Consider the following 19,585-nt stretch of genomic DNA (forward strand, 5'->3'; position numbering starts at 1 on the left):
ATGTGAGATTTGCACTCAAAGCCTAATTTTTACCATTTATAGCCTGTGTGACCTTGACCATAGTATATGATCCTTCTGAGACTTACTTTTTTCATGTGTAAATAAAAGTGTTAATAATGAAAATCTCAGCACTGATGTGAGGATTAAACAAAGTTAGAGGTTGGAACCCTGCTATTAGAATTGGTGTAGGTTGGGAAGAGGGGTCTTCTGGCCTTTTGCTTAGGAATTAGGGTCTGGAATGCAGACTGTTGAAGGATTAGGCAATGCTGCGATTTTCTTGCCTGTTTCTACTTTTTCAAACATAATCACCTGATGAAAATACGTGATAATTGTTTTAGAACACTATTTTTTCCCAGTTATATATTTCTAGCATTCACTCAGACATAGAACAGCACGAATAGCAAGAAACCTACTAAAATCTCTATCAATGCATAAGAAAGAAGATTTAGTATCAGACTACCTAGATCCACATTGCAGTACTGCAACTTATTAGTTTTATGGGCAGTTTGTGCCTCAGTTTCCTCATCTGTAAAACAGGATATTACCTACCTTATAGGGATGTGTAAGATTATAAAATAATACCTATGAGGTGCTTAATGAAATACCTGGCATATAACAAAAACTCAATAAATGTTGGTATCATCATCATCTTCTTCATCTTCATCATTCTCAGTTCAAGATCATACTGGGCCAAGAGACAGGAACTGATGGGCAGTGGATGCCTACTCCATGCTCAGCCTAAAGGGTAAAGACTGCAGAGTTAAGCTGATTTATTTCATCTCTTCTGATAATATTTTCCCCAATCTCCATATTATGCCAGGTAGGGATTTTGTTGAGAGAGACTTGAAACTAGAATAAGATTGAGTAAGGTTGTGCTGGGGCAAGTGGTTTTTCTTGACCTATATAAATTGGTACAGAGTTTAACATCTCAGCCTGGAGGCAGAACCGAGTACTCTATCAGCTGACTCTAGTTTTGCTTTTGGGCACCATCTTCATTGTTGTGGCCAGCCAGACTTCTGTTTGTCTTCTTTTAATACAACCCAGCTCATACATAACTGTCAAGTTTTCAAGGTACCCAGCACCTTTTTACACCCTTGCTATATTTGGGAAATTTGCAGCCTTCTTGATTTGGCTTCCTAACAGCAGAATCTAGAAAACTCAAGTTCCAAGACTCCCTTCCAGCTAGGATACATGCACCTGCAGGAGGTTTTGCCAGTTAGTCAGTTGCTCCTGAATCTTTGGTTTGGAAGCAAGAAATCTAAGAAGACAAGCTTTAGGGGGAGTCCTAACTATTTTGCTGGCATTGGTGGCAGCAGAGGCATCCAACAATCAGGGACAGTCAGTACAGGGATTTCCTTTATGTTCATCAGGCAACAGCACAGGTTGCAGTTTTTTCTCATCAGACCAGTTCTAATGCATGGTTCTAGGATTGTTCCTGTAAGTTTACACTCAACTGTTCCTATATTAAATTCCAACCCTCCCTGACAATTCTGTGAGCTATAGAATTTATTTATTTATCCTATAATAAAATCTCTTCCTGGCTGATCAGGCAAGGTTTGTGTTTCTTTCAACTAAAAATCTGGATATATTCCAGGAAGCCAGGGATTCGTATCTACTACAAAAGGTGGTACAGGCACCAACCAGTAACAGTAAAATATATATAAAAAAACATCTGGTGCTTCAAAGTGACAGTTGCTATAATGATGCCTACTCTAAATGTGTAAATTTATTCTCTAAATTTTTCAATAAATACTGCTTCTACGGAAAAGGAAAGGCTTTGTTCAGGCCTTTGGAGCCGACAATAATGCTCTGTCATTAAAATGTCAAGTTTACCTTATCAATTTGTCCAGTTAACTATGCTGTGAAACAAACTATCCCAAAACTTAATAACAATGATATTATTATGCTCACAGACACAGTGGGTCAGGAAATTGGATGGGACACAGAGGACATATGTTCTTTCTGTTCCAAAATCTGAGACTTCATCAGGGAAGAATTGAAGAGTGACTTATGGCTGAGTTGGAATTATCTGGCAATGCTTCTCACTAAATCACATCTGTTGCCTGGGCTGATAAGACTCAAAGACTTGGCCTACTCAATAGAGTACCTACAGGTGGCCTCTCCTGTCTTGGCTTTCTTACAATATGGTGGCCTCAAGGCAATCAGATTTGTTACTTGGTAGCTCAAGGCCTAGGGCAAGTATCCCAATAAAGAAGGGGGAAGACACATTACCATTTATGACCCACCTAGGAAGCCATGCAGTGATAATACCAGCATACTTCTATTTGTCAAGGCAGTCACAAGAGGAGGGAATTCAAAAGGAAAGGAATTAGACTCTACCTCCTGATGGGGAAGTGGCAAAGTCACACTGTAGAAGAGCATGTGAGGTGAGAGATACTGTTCCATCCATCTTCGGAAAATAAAGTCTGCCACAGTGATGCTGGTAAAATTGATTTAGAATTCAAATGTTCATCCTAAAGATGTCTAGGAGTTGCAGAAGTTCAGACAGCCAGAGTACTTTAAGTCTTGATACTATCAAAATACTCTACATCTCCTATAGATCTCGAAAGGGTATGCAGACATTCTCAATTTGCATTCTATTTTTCAGCCATCAGTATATAATTTGACTATGGAATACTCATCTAGAAAACCTGGTGACTATTTATATTCTGAATACTAAAATCTTTTAGTTACAGTCAAAGCTATTATATAGTTTGTATTTTCTTCCAGCTTACCACAAGTCCCTGGTGCTATGACTCCTCTGCAAAATAGAGATCTCTTGAAAAATCTTGCATTTGCTTTCAAAGCACTGTCATAAATATAAAATCCTTTTGATAAAAGGATTTTTATCATGTTCATGTATTTCCTATAGTTTTATAGATGAAAGATGGTGTTGATAATGGCATAATTTTGATCTTTCCCACTGAGCAGATCGTTGCAGCTGAGTTTTCCCTTGTAAAATTCAATTACGTTTCTCTACATCTTATCATCACTGCCAAAAGATGTACTGAAATCTTTCCTAACTCCCTTCTGGCAAAAACAAGTTCTGCTACAAAGGGTCTCTTAAGATTCTTGAAGGACATCTGTCTTCATCAGCATGTGATCTGGTGGAGATACGTGCTGTTTTAAGATACAGGTTCATCAGTTATTCTTTTGGCAAATTTAAATGCTATTACTGTGTGATTGCAAAAGTAAGACCTGAGAGCTATTAGTCAAAGTACCAATCCTTTTCAGAAGAAAATATACCCAGCATCTTTTAAAATGGAATGTGTATTTGTTTTTCAGGCCAGGGCTTTGGACTTATCCATCGATTCTGCCCCAGTACATTTACATAATTGTTGCACAACAAGTGTCTGTTGACGACAATCTTATGATTATGCATTGCTTCCATTAATATATAGTTCATATACCACAGTGCTGATTCTTTTTATATCTGGCAGGTTTTAGATTTTTTTTTTAACTTCTGAAGACTTATGTTTCATGATATGGTGTATTAGTCCATTCTTGCATTGCTATAAAGAAATACCTGAGACTGAGTAATTTATAAAGAAAAGAGGTTTAACTGGCTTATGGTTATGCAGGATGTACAGAAAGCATAGCAGCTTCTGCTTCTGGGGAGGCCTCAGGAAACTTACAATCATGGAAGAAGGCGAAGGGAGAGCTAGCACTTCACATGGCCGGAGCAGAAGGAAGAGAGAGAGAGACGCGGCAGGTGCTACACATTTTTAAACAACCAGATGTTGTGATAATTCACTCACTCACTATCATGAGATTAGCACTGAGATGGTGCTAAACCATTCATGAGAATTTTTCCCCCATGATCCAATCACCTCCCACCAGGACCCACCTCCAACACTGGGGATTACTGTTCCCCAGTGGGAAAAACTGTTCCATGTTCTGCATGATTTACCAAACGTTCCACCATTCCTTCAGGTGTTAAACTCTTTCTAAAATTATCTCAGCTTACACATTAGCAGCCTTTGTACATTCTAAGATATATTACATTTCATGTATACATACCCTGTATGTATGCTATAAAAGTCAAACCCATCAGAATTGGTAGTAAGACACATAAAGATAGGAACCATGTTTTATATTTTCTTCACCTAGCACAGTGCCTCATACAATGTAGGCATTTAATAAGCATTTGTAAAATGACACAATTATTAAATAAAGAGTGATAATATATCATTGTTAGGTCACCTTGTCTTGTTCATTCATTATCTCATGAACTTTAACAGTCTTATCCTAAAAATAAAGTTGGTAATAAACACATTGTTACAAAATGGGACCTCAGTTTCTTCAGGAAATAATTGGTTCACATCCTGCACTGCCATCATCAGAAAGAAGTCCCTTTCACCATCAAAATATGTAAATTTGAGCTAGGTTTCCAGAAATGATTCTTGATTGTATTAAACAATTGGATGTTCTGCACTGATGTTCTCTGTTAAGTGAACAGGAAGTGACCTGGATGAGGTTACATAGCTGCAAAATCCCATCTTCATGCAAGTTCCTTTGTGGTTGCTAGGGCTCCATCATTCCACAGGCTGCTTCACAAACATCCACCATAAAAATAAAGCCTGGTATCACTGCTACTCAGTCAGTAATTAAATTCCATGCACATCCAGAATTTTGCTTGTATGTACATTTTAATAATGAGGTTGTCTTCAAGGCTGTTGAAAGGTGGTAGAAGACTTCATTGCTTAACCAAAATCTGCCAATTATCCCTTAACTTTGCAGTTTTACTAAGATCAATCATCCAACATATTGTGGTGCTTTAACTGGTTACAAATTAAACAGAAAAAGTAATAAGAAAAGAAAACCAATTTTCCTAGACTACCTTAAGCCTGCCAAGCATAAAAATGCACTTAACTCAGAAAACTGCTGAGAGATTAATATAGAATTTGTGTGCTACTAAAGAAATCATTAAAGCAGCTAAATTCTGGGAATACAGCCTCTGCAAAAGTAAGGGAAATATCTTATTCAAAAATAGTGGTACAATTAAATTTAGTTATTTATCCTGTACCAATGTAAAAAGGATTTTATTAGTATAACTTCATTTAAAGCCACATATGCAAATCTTCAGAGTGAAGAAAAGATTTCAACTGTTAGGCAATTTAAATTTTAGTATTAGACAACAAGAAAAGTATGAGCACTTAAAACAAAAAAATCTGCAAGAGCGATAATGAGGATCAAACTGGAATGAAAACTACAAAATTTGGCAGCTTGAAGAAAAAAATTTATAGTTAAGTTAGAAATAAAATTTAAAATAAAGAACTTGAATTTTATCTCCAGTATAATTCTTTACTGTCATTCATGGTTGTCATGATTATTGTTATAATCATCTTCATAGCTCTCCTCTAAAAAATGCTTATTCTATTACAAGCACTTTATACTCATTTTCTAACTTAATCATCAAAACAACCCTATGAGTTAGGTACTACTACTCTTAGTGGAGAAACTGAGGCTAAGAAAGGTTAACTAGCACACATTACTGGCCTAAACCTAGTAAATGACAGGTTAAAACCCCAGGCAGTCTTATTCCACATTTCCTCATAATTATCATCTGTCTAGATTTTTTTGACAATAGATCTGATGAATATAGCAGCTACAGACATAGCAAAGCTGTCATGCAGCTCATGAGCTGCATGAATCTTAACTAGTTGAGTGACTGGTTTCAGGTAACAAACTTTTCTGGTTCTCAAATTCCTTAAGGAGGTGGTAGGACTAGGATAGAGATGCACAACTGGGGCAGCAACCACCAGGGAGCAATGTGTCCATTTATGGGAAGGCAGGATCACAATGATTGTGGACCACTATTGTGGGCATTTGGTAGGCAAAGTTCAGTCACAGAGGTGGAAATGAGTGGAACAATTCCATCAAAGGAAAAATTTTTTCATGTTCTGCATGATTTACCAGATGTTCCACCATTCATTCAGGTATTAGATAAACTCTTTCTAAAATTATCTGAGCCTACATATTAACAGCTTTTGTACATGTAAACCCCAAGTATTTTTTTGTTTTGTGCTATTTTAATATATATTGATTTTTCCAGGAATGCAGCCTCAATATGCATATCTGTGTAACTGTGTGTGTATGAGTGAGCTTGCTTCATTTGGAACTTTATCAATGACGGGTTACCATCTGGGAAAATCATAGCATTGATATAAGGTCAATTACGGCATCTGAGTTGCCAATACAACACACCTGTAACCGACAGCATTTGAGGCTGCCCCATTCATGATGATTCTACACACATGTGCACACATCTGACTATTTCATTAGGTCTTCCAAAGAAGTCATGCTTTAAGCATTTATATATTGATATTGACATATGTATATTTTTATATATCTTTTGTATTTCAGTCAGGGTGTTAAACTATTGATTTTTGAAAATCCATGTATGTTGATATTGTTGGTAAAATGTATTTTAAGTCACTAAAAGGCAGTGTTATTAAATTTTTGTCAGGAAAGGGTGTAACTGTTCTCATACAATAAAGAAATTCTGGAATAGGTAATATCTAACATCTCATACAATTTTAAGATTCTATTTCACCTTATTAAACACAGCCATAATCAGTGATCTTTCTCCACAAAAGTGATTGCAGCCAAAAATCAAAAGTTAATTACACATTACCTCTTACTTAGCATTATTGCTCACAGAACACACACTTATATTTCTGGAAATTCTCTAATTTGCACATTTTTTATAATGGGAAATGTCTTTCCAAGTCTGTGAGGCAGAAAATAGCATTCCACATACACCCCACATATTCATTCTTTCCTCTTATCCCACACATAAAACATATCTGGCAGAAAGTCAGATTAGAAAATGGAATGGGACTATGCTTATAAATTCATTTTAAGTTAAAAATAAAATTAAAAAATGAGTGAAAGGAGTCACAACAGAAACAATGGATGGAAAATGAAAGAAGTGATGCGGAATTAAAATAATTTGATCATTCTATACTGTGGGCCAACATTACAGAAATAGAGAATTATAACAAGGTATGGTAATTTTAACTCAAGAAAGACATAAGGTTTCCTCTGCTTTGCCATGTAGAGGAGTCAGTCAACAATGATTAAGCAAGAGTTCAGAACTCTTTACAAAGGGATATGAATGGCTGTTCTGAAGTCCCTTCTCACATTCAAATTCAAGTGATTAAACAAAGACAGACTGAGCACCCACTGAATAGATGGGCTGAGGACTGGGCTGGCTGCTATGGAGTGGGATGGAAGTGAGATTCCTACACTCCATGTTCCTGCAGGACATACACACACAAATAAATCTGAAATAAGGATGACTATGAAACAAGTTATAAGAGAGATAGTAAGTGCTAAAGGAACCTGGAAGAGGGAAGAAGACTTATTTCAACTAGGGGAACCGAGAAGGCTTTTTGGAAGAGGTAGGATTTGAGCTAAGCTTGAAGAAAAAGAAGAGCTTTCATAAGCAGAAATGAGTGTGAGAGGGGAGGTACTCCAGGAAGAAGAAATAACTGGAACCAAAGCCTGGGAGAGGAGAAAATGGAGGGCAGATTGGAGTGATGATGTTAGGGTGGAGAAGGGAGACTGCAGAGGCAGGGGACAGGTAGGGGAGAAAATAAAGGTCAATGTGAAAGCCACACTGAGGAGTTGGGACATATTCTACATATTCAACATTCATTAAACCAATGCTACAAAGCACCTACTATGTATCAGACTCCGTTTTAGGCAGCAGGGAAATAGCAGAAAACAATGCAGATAAAAATCCCTGACCTCATGGAGCTTACATTGTTAGCTGGTAAACTACAGAATAAGATAAACAAGAAAGAATATATAATATGTTATAGAGGAAGAAGTATCGCGGAGAAAAATGAAGAAGGGAAGAGGAATAGAGGTGACGCAATTTTAGAATGTCCAGAGAAGGCCTTACTGAGAAGGTAACATTGGAACAACAGCTTGTAGGAGGTGAGAATCTATGTAACAGGGATTCAGGAACAGATGGTGAACGACTTACAGAAACAGAGACAATATGGACACTGATTTGAGGGGGGCATTGAGGGGTTGGTAGCTAGGGGCAGGGAGATGAAGCAGCAGCATAATGCATTGCATACTACATAATGTTTATGATTCCCAGCTACACAGGAAATGTATACAATATGTATATGAATGATAAATACCATGAAAGGAGGGAAGGAAAGTGAAAAAGGTAATATAGGAAAGTGTCCTCAGGTGGCTTTTACTATCTTGTTATTTTTGTTCTTAAACTGGGGCTGCACTCATAGGTGTTTGCTGTGTTAATCTCTATTTTTATTTGCAAGTCTGAAGTAGCTTGCAAAAAGGAAAAAAAAAAGTGGAGGCAACAGTTTAAATAGTTTACATATAATTATAATTTACTACATACCAGGTGCTTAGTGCTACACAGGAACTCCCTCGATGAATCCACACAACAACCCTGTGGAAGGGGGTATTATTTCTATCATTCATTTATAGGTTAAATAAATAAATAAATAAGGCACAGAGACTACGTAATTTGGACAAGGCCACATACTGAGCAAACCAAGCCACATAGGCTACAAACCAAGGCAGCAAGACTCCAAAGACCATATGTGAAGCCACTCTCCAAACAGCACTCAGAATCGCCTCTCCAAAAATAAACAAAAGCTTCAGCTGGAGGAAGCTGAACAGCAAAGGAGGGAAGACAAAGATAGTAACAGAGTTAAGAGGCACTGTCAAGGCAGAATGAATTGAATGGCAACTAGTTATAAGATTCATTCATTCACTCCTTATTTTTTCACGGCTCAACTTGCAGTGCATATTTTTTAAATTTCTTAAACCGTATGTGCCAGTCACTGCTGTAGGTACAACAGTATAAGAGTAGATAAGGCAGAGCTTATGGGCAATTGAAATACAGTATAACTAGCACTATAATAAAGGTATGCAAGGAGGGTATGGGAGCCTATGGCCGGCATGTCTAAGGTCCAGATGCCAGAGTCAACTGCAGTGTAAGAAAGAGTGAACCCAATTAAGCAGAGGTTGAGGTGTCTACACACAGTAGGCAGTGTTCATGCTAAGGCCTACTGGGAGAAATGCAAGTGATTAATATTGTGCAGGGGCGAGAAGGAAATGAGGGTAGCTGATGATGAGGCACAGAGAGTAGGTAATTTGTACAAGACCAGATAGCTTGAGGTTCAGCAGAGGTCAGCCCATGACAGCCAGATGTAGAATGACCAGCCATGCAAAGAAGGGAAGGAGCAAAGGACCGATGTGTTTAAGAGAACTGAGTGCACAAAGGAAGGAGCAGATGGAGCCCAAGAACCTCACTAGGATTGTGGGTGGTAAGATCTGCTAAAAAAAGGGAGTTGGGGGGATGGGTGAAAACTTTAGGATAATGTCAAATACAGCCATGTTAATTAAAGTGACAGGAAATTAACAATGGATTCAAAAGAAATACACCATGCTAAATGGAGGATGTAGTAGAGGTAAAATGTCTTGACGTTGAGTTCATTGGTCAACACTCACATTGGTCAATATCATGATTGGGAGATCCCTGTCACTCCTCAACATGTGGGTATGGGAGCAGAGAGATTGCAGGCATAACCAGAGGATGAAGACAGAGTGATGGACTCTTTATTTATTTTAAAATTATTTATAAGGATTCAATGGCTAGTACTAAGAAACACAGACTACATTGTTTCCAACTTATAATTGGATTTTATAATAAAATTGGAATAGAGCAAAGGCACAGGAGGAAAACACCAGCCATGGAAAATAGTGGGAACATGACATGATATGTATAAGCATTCATATTAACCAAAGATTAGTCAAATGAATCCCCAAAGACTGCTGAACTGATTAACCGACCTGTACATTTATATAGGCAGACCCTTAAAAATCAAACATACTTTTGTTAATGTTTCCTAAGGTTCATTTAATCTGTGTTCCCTAGAAACACAATTTCCAAGTAAGTGGTGAGGTGAATGAGGAAAATATCTCTAGTTCTCACCAGTCAGCAGCTCAATACTTGAAGTCAGGTTTTCAGGTAGAATTTCTGTTACTCTTCTGTTTTTTTTTTTTCCTCTCTTTCAAATACCAGGTGTCTCAGGTAAGTAATAAAAGGAGGACTAAAGGGAGTTTTCACTTTTTTCCTTTCATTTATTAATTTCTGCACATATTTCTCCAAATGGACTATCTAATGAATGGTAAACAGAGTTCCTTTAAAGAAAAAGGCCCAGTGGACAGAAACGCTACAGAAAAAGAGAGAAAAAAAGAGAAAAAGGTTTTGTGTATGGTATTGGAGGGTGGCAGTGTAGAGCTTCCTTTTTTTCTGGACGCTAATACCAGAGGTCAGTTTTAAGCCTTAGTTTGTAAAGATGCGATGTGAGGTTCACAAGGGAAGTAAAGGGTAAAAGGCTTAAAGCATAGCTGGAGAAGCTGAAGCTGCTAATTGGCTCTAATGATCTGAATGCAAATTAATAAATCTCTGTGCTAAAAATTACATGCACATATAATTATGACTTTTATAACTTAAGAGCTCTACTTAACCCATTATTCACATTCTTTCTTTCCTGAGACCTGGTAGGAATGGATAACTTTTTTTTTTTATTACCTCTCCAGCTTCATCCATCACATGCACCATTGAGCTTTACAGCCTTTGAAGGTCTTATTAAAACAATCCAAGGATTGCAGAAATGAAACTCACAGACATTATTACAAAGGAGGGGGAAAGGGTCAAGCTCAAGGCTGTGGAAGGCTGAGTAGCTTGAAAATTTCCAGCAAAGTTATCTACCCAGGACCCTTGGACTAGGCAAGAAGAAAAATCTGAAATCACAATATGTGGCTGTGGGCTGTTGGGAATAAAAAGACACATAAAAAGAAAAAGAACTCAGCTGTAACAAAATGGCCAGACTGCATTTTCTTCCACAAAGAATGGAGCAGTTGTCACAATAACTGAGATAATTAATATTAAGAGGTTTAATAGAATGCCTGGTACAAACCAAGTATTTGAAAATTTCCTTTCAGTCATTCAGAGAGGTGGCATCTAATTCCTATTTCTAGTTCCTATGATTTCACTTTTTCCTATCCCCTGTTCTGTATGTTCCTCTCTACTGTGTACTTGCTCCTTTCTTTTCCCTCCCATCTCCATCTTTCTCTTCTCATGGCTTCTATCACATGAATAGGCAGGCAACCACTTGGTTCCTCTGTCATTAAACATTCAACAGAGACTAAACCCTTGAGCCCTATTGCCCGTGCCCCATGTAAACACATAGTGTGCCATCACAAAAAAAAAAAAAAAAAAAGACCACTCTTCTATCAACACGATGTTACAGCATCTGAGCCAATGCAATGCTAGGGATAATTTTAAAAGGGGACTTTGCCTAGGAAGCTGGTAGATGGAACAGTGTACACAGACAGAAGACTCCAAGATCACCAGAGAAAAACTGGATGCAAACTAATACCTGTTTTGTACTTGAGATCTGACAAGTGTGGAACAGGAGAAAAAAGAGGTAAGAGGAGCCAGCCGAGCTGAACCGAAGCCAATTTTAGCCAATTAAACAGCTCTGATCTTGAGTAATTGCTTAACTTCTCTGTGCCTCAGTTCCCTTATCTGTAAAATGAGACTATTGTGAGAATTAAATGAATCAGTACATCAGAAGCAGTGTTAGGAACATATTAAGGGATATGCAGTCATACAAATAAAGTATTATCTGCGAGTACTACCACCACTGCCATCATCATCGTTTTATTTCAAGACAAGTCCAAACCAAATATTATAAGCATTAATATTAATCACAATAATAACATTCTGCTTATTTCATATTTTGCTTTTCAGTTCCAAAAGCACCTTCCCCATGGTCTCCTTTTAGCTTCACAGTAGCCCTGTGGGCCAGAAGGATTATTATCTCCTCCTCGCAGACAAGGCAGACAAGGCAGCCAAGGCTGCTTTAAATACTTGGTCTGCTCTGCCGTTCTTTGCAAGGTTCATAACCAAAGAGACACCTTTAGTGGATTCTGGCTCCAGAATTGGGGAAGAAAAACCACACAAGCAAAGTAAGAAACAAAACTGGGAGGAAAGGTCTTTCCCTCCCACCCCTCACATTACATCCATCTCCAAGTTATGAGTCTACTACCCACTCTGCTTTGTTCATTTCTATTCTCTCCACTCCATCCTCACAGCAACAGCCCTTATCACAGGACAACTGCAACTACCAGTTAATGTCTCTCTGGTCTCTTCCCACATGAAAACCCATAATGCCACTCTCCTTTGGGGCTCCCTCATCTTCCCCTTTCACATTTCCAGTCGTGATCCCATTGCAACTGTGCACCCCTTTCCCTTTAGTACTGCCCATTCCTTAATTTTTGGCCTTAGTCTTCACACTAGATTATAAATTATTTGAGGGCATGGATCATGTTTTTTCATCTTCATTTTCACAGTACCCATCAAAATACCCAACCCATGGTGCTCAATAAATCTATATTGAACAAGCAAATGAAAACTCTATAATATAAGTAGAGAGGGACTGGGGTACAGCCCTGACCATGTTTACATTGTATTACATCAGTAGACACATTCATGGAAGGCTGCCCCTTCTGAGTGAAAACTGAATCTGATTAGAGACTAAGGACTTTCCAAACTTGGGGAAAGGACCTAAAAAGGACCCCCAGGTTCCTCCTTTAGTGTCTCAATGATCAAAAGCTCTCCCTTGAGAGGGTTTATAGTTAGGGTGAACATACGTCCTGGTTTGCATAGTAAAGCCCTGATTTATAACTGTCATCCCGATGTAAATAGCAACAGTGTCCCATTTCACAAAGACATCCCCGTTTGGACACTATACTACATAGTGGAGAAGAGGGCAGATCGGGTTTCAGCTCTGTTGCTTTCCAGCTGTGGGACCTTGGTCAAGTTGTTCAACTTCTATAAATTTCTGTTTTTACATCTGCAAAATGGGCATCTACTTCACAGCATTATAAAGATCAAATGAGATAATGCATGCAAAGTCATTAGCATAATGCCTGGCACATTGTTCAAAAATATTAGCTACTATCACTGAATTAGAGAGGGTGATCATGCCAGTGCACATGCAAGTGTGAGCAGAAAAATTACACTTACTAAATGTTAGCTCTCCAAGGCATTCTGGCAACAAATTGATCAGGTTTTTACTCAAGCCATATGTGAGTGCCTTTTGTTTAACATTACAATAGCAGTTTTAAGAGCACAGAAATGGGGAAATGCAGAGCAAAAGGCTGCATGCTTAACCTACGTATTTTGTTAATAATTTCAGTGAGACCGCTTAGCGCTTTTGCTAGCAACAGGGAACTGAGATCCGCACTTCCCGCTGCTGTGTTAGAACTCTTGCCAGCCACAAGGGAATAGAGAGCTATTTGAGAAATTGCCCTCTCCAGCCTCTAATAATTATGTAAAGCGTATCATCGAGGACCTGTAATTGGTACAGAAGGCTACGGCTAGAAAACGAGACTATTACTCTCTACAATCTTCTTAGGATAAATGATACATTTATCTTAAAGGAAAGAGAATTGTAATACGCACGAACAGGATGTAAAGGAAAGCAACTTCCTTGAATGGAGGATGCAGCTTAAGATATTACTATTCAGCAGAACTGACACCAATTGGAAATGAACAATAATGAAATGTAGAAGTTACAAGAAACAAAAGCCTTAACAGAAAAAAATGTAAATGGATTATAAAAAGAGAAGTTGCAAGTTTCACATAAAGTTTAGTCTTGGATACAAGACCTACCCAATGATTACCCACAAACAATTTCTTGGGCAGAAAGGCAAAGCAGAAAGAAACAATATATAAAACAGAAAAGAACAAAAAATAATATGACTTACACAGGTGTAGAAGAATATTTTGAAATGCCATCTAAAATATATATAATTCCTGGCAATTTTGTCTCAAAATTCTCCACTCTTTGAAGCTGAGGCATCCATTTCTTAAATGAGAGGACAGGGCCAGGAAAGAAAAAAGAAGCTTTTGCCCACCTTGGACTTCAAATTAGAACTGTTTCTATAAGGACTATGAAAACCTTGATTTTCCCTTGTAAGAGCTGGGCACTTAGAGGTTTTCTGCTGAACTCCAAAGATATTATTTAAATAGCAAAATGAGCCTGAAGAATTGACTATCCATTTCTCCAATTAGCCTGGTGGATCCTGCAAACTGAGATCAAAACCCCAGAAGGGGAGGCAGAAACTTTCCAGAGACTCAGCACCCATAAGCTGAGGAGACTCATGATCCCTGTTCAACCGAAACTCTCAGTGGTGCCTCACGCCCACGAAAGAAGGCTGCCACAGAGAAGAAATGCCAGTGGGCGGGTCTCAACAGAGGACAAGCTGCCCCCGGTGCGCTTCACACCAGTTCCCCTTGGCACCTGCAGAGCAGGGAGGGGAGCTGGAACATCCCATGGCCCCTTCAGAGAGGCTTAGAAAGGGGCTGAGGGCTGCCGGCCAATGTGCTATTCTCTCAGGATGGTCTGAGACAAAAAAAATCTGTAGCAAAGGCTGTGAGTAGAACAAAGCCAGGAGTAGATGGAGGGCGTACCTGATTCTCAGAGAAAATTCAGCACCAGGAAAAAGCCAACGTGATGGTGAAGTCAGCAGAGACAGGCCTATGCTAAGATCAGATCACAGATCACAGATCACGGACACTTTAAGTAGCAGATGGGGTGAGGGCAGGGGCTCGTGCCTGAAGACCAGGTGGGATGAGATAGCTCAGCAACAGCAAGAACAACCAGATACAGCTGGTAAGCCTGCCAATCTCTCTCCTCTAAAGCCTCAAGTCTGCATAATCACCAAGCCGCCTTGCCACTCAGGAGGAAGAAGAACTCTAAAAGCCTCTATCTTTCTGCGAAAGAAGAGTGAGTCAGCCTGGAACTGACCTTGTTACCTTGAATGGGCAAATTACAAGGAAATGGGGAAATGGAGATTCAAGAGCTACATGGAATTCAGGTATACAAAAATTAAGCTATCATATGTGACTCTAAGTTAAAAATCCTCCAATACATTATACAGTATATCCAAGCTATGAAAAATTTATGGGTGCAGTGGTTCACGCCTGTAATCCCAGCACTTTGGGAAACCAAGTTGGGTGGATCACTTGAGGTCAGGAGCTCGAGACCAGCCTGGCCAACACGGTGAAACCCCCATCTCTACTAAAAATACAAACAAATTAGCCAGGCGTGGTGGGGCACGCCTGTAGTCCCAGCTAGTTGGGAGGCTGAGGCAGGAGGATCATTTGAACCCGGGAGTTGGAGGTTGCAGTGAGCAGAGATCATGTCACTGCACTTCAGCCTGGGTGACAGAGTGAGACCATGTCAAAAAACAAAACAAACAAAGATTATCCCCAAATCCTATATAATTGAGGCTTTTAAGGTAAAAATGCTCATGAGAAACATAATAAAATGACTAATTTTAAAAGTGAAAAACTGTGCATTATAATTGATAAATTAACAATGATCTCATATCTTGGAATGTTCCTAGATTTCAATTTCTGCATATCCCTGAAGCCCAGTTACAACCTGCCCCATCTCTTCTCTCTCTGCAGTCAACATTTTCTTTTTGAAAGCAAATCTAACTGAGCCGTTTCCCTGTTGAAAATGCTCTCATATTCCCAAATGTAAAATCTCCTAACGACCCATAAGAGGAGACTCCTGAGCTGGGCTCCCATCTACAGCACCCATTCATCCATCCTCTACCAACCCTGGACACGTGGAACCACTTTTAGTTGGTGACAGTACTAAGCAAAAATAAGATAATAACAGTAACAATAAGAGCAAGATAAAATTAATTTTAAAGATTAATATCTATATATCATCATACCACAAAAAGCACTCCCTAACAAATACCTTATTTGATCATGACAACAATACCGTGAAGAAGTGATGGCAGATACTGATATTACTGTTGTTAATTACTGTTATTACTATTGCTAACCCTATTTTATAGCATATAAATTAAGTCTCAACAGGTATAGGAATTTTTGCAAGATCACACACCTAAGTGAGAGCTATACGAGAGGTCTATGTCTCCATGTGCCCTTTTCACTCTATCTCACCATCTCCCAGTATCACTCTTTAGATAAATGAATTTCAAATCTGGAAAGTTGGGGAATCGAGAAAGTAAAGCAATTAAAACTGTGGTGCATGAACCACTTGATCTTATGCTTTGTTTTTCTGGCTTTGCTAACTGCGTCAGTGTAGGAGATAAAGTTGTTTGAAGACTTCGCCTTCTGGCTTTGCCTTAGGAGTAAAACAAATTTTAATGAAAGTTAGCTTTTCAAAATATAGCAGTATTAGGAAATAAGAAAGACTGCTGAAGCATAGAAATGTTTGAAAAAGAAGGATTAATGTTCAAATCATAATGCCTAATTATAATATTTACAAAATATTTATAAATGCAAATTTTCTCCCTGTGCCTCAACGTCCTCAGGGGTAAAATGGGATTAATAATGTACCCACTTTACAGGTTGTTATGAGGATTGAATGAGTGTCTGCCTTAAGGCACTTAAAATACTGCCTGGCATATAAGGAGCCTATTAATGTTAGTACTGTTATCATTTCTAGTGACATAATCATAAACTATAGATATCTCCATCTAGGTCTTTTGTGTTTTCTTTTCTAGAGGTCAAGAATATTTACAACAGATATTTATTTGACCTTTTAAGTAATTTGAACATTCTACACATGCTTTGAGAGTGTTTAGAGTATGTCTCATGTATTTCTATTCTAAAATACAAAATCTCTTAAGAAACTAACCTCTAAGAAATGATTATAAGCTTACACTTTTCTTTAAAAACTTTGAAGTTCAATATACTAAAAGAAACAGAGAGGTGGATCCCATGTTAAAAGTGCTTTTCCTTAGCCAGAGAAGATATTTATTCCTAGATGCACCCTCCACCAAAAGAGAAAAAAATGCTACTGTAGTTAAATATAAATTAAATTTAGATAACAATAGGCCCAGATCAGCAGCTGTCTGTCCTTGGTGTGCATCAAAATCATCTAGGCTTCAAAAAGCTTTTAACAAACACAGAAATCAAGTTCTAACCCCGGTGATTCTGATTCAACTGGTCAGGGGCACAAACCTAAGAAATGACTTTTTTATTCATTTTTATTTTATTTTATTTTATTTTGAGACAGGGTCTCTCTCTGTTGCCCAGGCTGGAGTGCAGTAGTGCAATCACCACTTACTGCAACCTCGACCTGGGGCTCAAGTGATCCTCCCACCTCAGCCTCCTGAGTAGCTGGAACCACAGGCGCACACCATCACACCCAGCTAATTTTTTTTCATTTTTTTTTGTGGAGATGGGGTCTCAATATGCTGCCCCAGCTGGTCTCAAACTCTTAGACTCAAGCAATCATCTTACCTCAGCCTCCCAAAGTGCTAGGATTACAGGCATGAACCACAGGGCCTAGCCAAGAACTGACTTTTATTAAGATAGAGTCTCTCTCTGTCACCCAGGCTGGAGTACAGTGGCGCGATCTCAGCTCACTGTAACCTCTGCCTCCTGGGTTCAAGCAATTCTTGTGCCTCAGGCTCCCAAGTAGCTGGGACTACAGGCATGTGCCACCATGCACAGCTAATTTTCACATTATTTTTAGTAGAGACGGTGTTTTGCCATGTTGGCCAGGCTGGTCTCAAACTCCTGACCTCAGATGATTTGCCTGCCTCGGCCTCCAAAAGTGCTGGAATTACAGGCATGAGCCACCTTGCCCTGCCAGAACTGACATTTTTAAAGCCTGTTTAGGTTACAGGAATGTGTAGTCAGGGTTAGGAACCACAGATCTAGAGAATTTCAAGTTCCTATTTTTGCTAACAGGAGCTAAAATATTGTGAGTTTATAATATGTTTTTCTACTGAACACAGTTGCTATCATCAAATGTGAAAAGCCACATTTAAATAAATCAAATATCATTGAATAAATAAATAAAAATAAATAAATTCAAATCTGAGTAAGAGTGCCCTAAAAATATTTGAAGACTACATTTAAATAAACATTTTGGCCTTTTATAATCATAATGGGACATTAATAAAGAAGCAATGCTAGAAGACAGAGTTGAACTACAAAAAATTGAAGCTCTAAGAAGTTACATGATTTGTCCAAAGAAATAAAGTCAGTGCCAGAGTCCAGTCTCAAACTTATTTTTCCTATCTGCCACCTTTCTCTATTGTAAGTCTAGTTGTTTGTCTGTGCACGGATGTGGTACATACATTCCTTTTTAAAAATAATTTCAGGCCAGGTGCGGCAGCTCACGCCTGTAATCCCAGCACCTTGGGAGGCCGAGGCAGGTGGCTTACCTGAGGTCAGGAGTTTGAGACCAGCCTGGCCAACATAGTGAAACCCCATCTCTACTACAAATACAAAAAATTAGCCAGGCGTGGTGGCAGGGGCCTATAATACCAGCTACTCGGGAGGCTGAGGCAGGAGAATCACTTGAACCTGGGAGGCAGAGGTTGCCATGAGCCAAGATCACACCATTGCACTCCAGCCTGGGCAACAAGAGTGAAACTCTGTCTCAAAAACAACAAAATAATAATAATTTCAAAGACTTTTGGAGAACTATAATCCAACATTGCACATTATTAAGGTTATATATGTTGAATATTTTAAGATTTGTTTATAAAAGTCAAAGTAACTATGCCAAATAATCAGTGGTGTAAGGTAAAATTCATTCCTTGATCAGGATAAACAGCTAATTGACTTCCAAATTTTGATCAAAGTTAATATCAATTTTCTTAAGCTCATAGTTTATTCTATTTGCATAATTTTAAGGCTTAAATGTGTAACACAAATGTCATCATGTGTTAACTGTACTAACCTGCTATATTTCACATCATTGAATTTGGAGCTACATTTCTAATAGTAATAATAACTGCCACTGATCGAGTGCCTAATATATGCCATGCATTGTACTATTTTACATATATGGCCTTTAGATTAAATTTCATAGAGAGGTAAACGGAGGCTCAGCTACTGTTTTTTTTTGTTTTTTGTTTTTTTTATCTTACAGGGTCTCACTTTGTCACCCAGGATGGAGTGCAGTGGTGTAATCACGGCTCAATGTAGCCTTGACCTCCCAGGCTCTCAAACTGTCCTCCCAACAGCCTCCCAATAGCTGGGACTACAGGTATGTGCCACCATGCCTGGCTAATATTTACATTTTTAGTAGAGACAGGGTCTCACTATGTTACTCAGTCTGGTCTAGAACCCCTGGGCTCAAGCAATGTTCCCACCTCAGCCTCCCAAAATGTTGGGATTACAGTTGTGAGCCACCACACCCGGCCAGCTCAGAGAACTTAAAATGCTCGTGAACATAGCCATTTGGTGGCAAAGTAAATTTCCGATCCAGGTCAGTTTTGCTCCAAAGGCAATGCTTGAACCACAAACATATTTTACCTTATGACGATTAGAAATCTAAGCTTAATCTTATTGAATGCAAACCCAACTAAAATTAAAACTTTTAGGTAAAACTGATTTTAACTATAATTTAGGTTTAAAAAAATTGCCTGTGAAAACACTGATGCTGTTAACATGAACACAGGTGAACACAAGTCAAAACTGGATAATGCTGAGTAATGCTGTTAAAGAACT

The 19,585-nt window shown here is 38.6% G+C and overlaps 1 protein-coding gene across 7 annotated transcripts in view, besides 1 other annotated feature; it reads right to left on the reverse strand.

Moving 5' to 3' along the window:
- Window positions 1–19,585, reverse strand: part of GRIP1 (glutamate receptor interacting protein 1) — a 721,908-nt gene that overhangs the window by 523,520 nt on the left and 178,803 nt on the right. The gene's annotated exons all lie outside the window — the stretch shown is intronic.
- Window positions 14,367–14,867: an enhancer, noted in NCBI's record as "H3K4me1 hESC enhancer chr12:67279097-67279597 (GRCh37/hg19 assembly coordinates)". NCBI's record gives its function as "activates a minimal SCP1, AML or CMV promoter by ChIP-STARR-seq in primed H9 embryonic stem cells {active_cell/tissue: H9 hESC(primed)}" and the evidence as "EXISTENCE:reporter gene assay evidence [ECO:0000049][PMID:30033119]".

Source organism: Homo sapiens, chromosome 12 (genome assembly GCF_000001405.40).
Source record: "Homo sapiens chromosome 12, GRCh38.p14 Primary Assembly".
Taxonomy (NCBI): domain Eukaryota; kingdom Metazoa; phylum Chordata; class Mammalia; order Primates; family Hominidae; genus Homo; species Homo sapiens.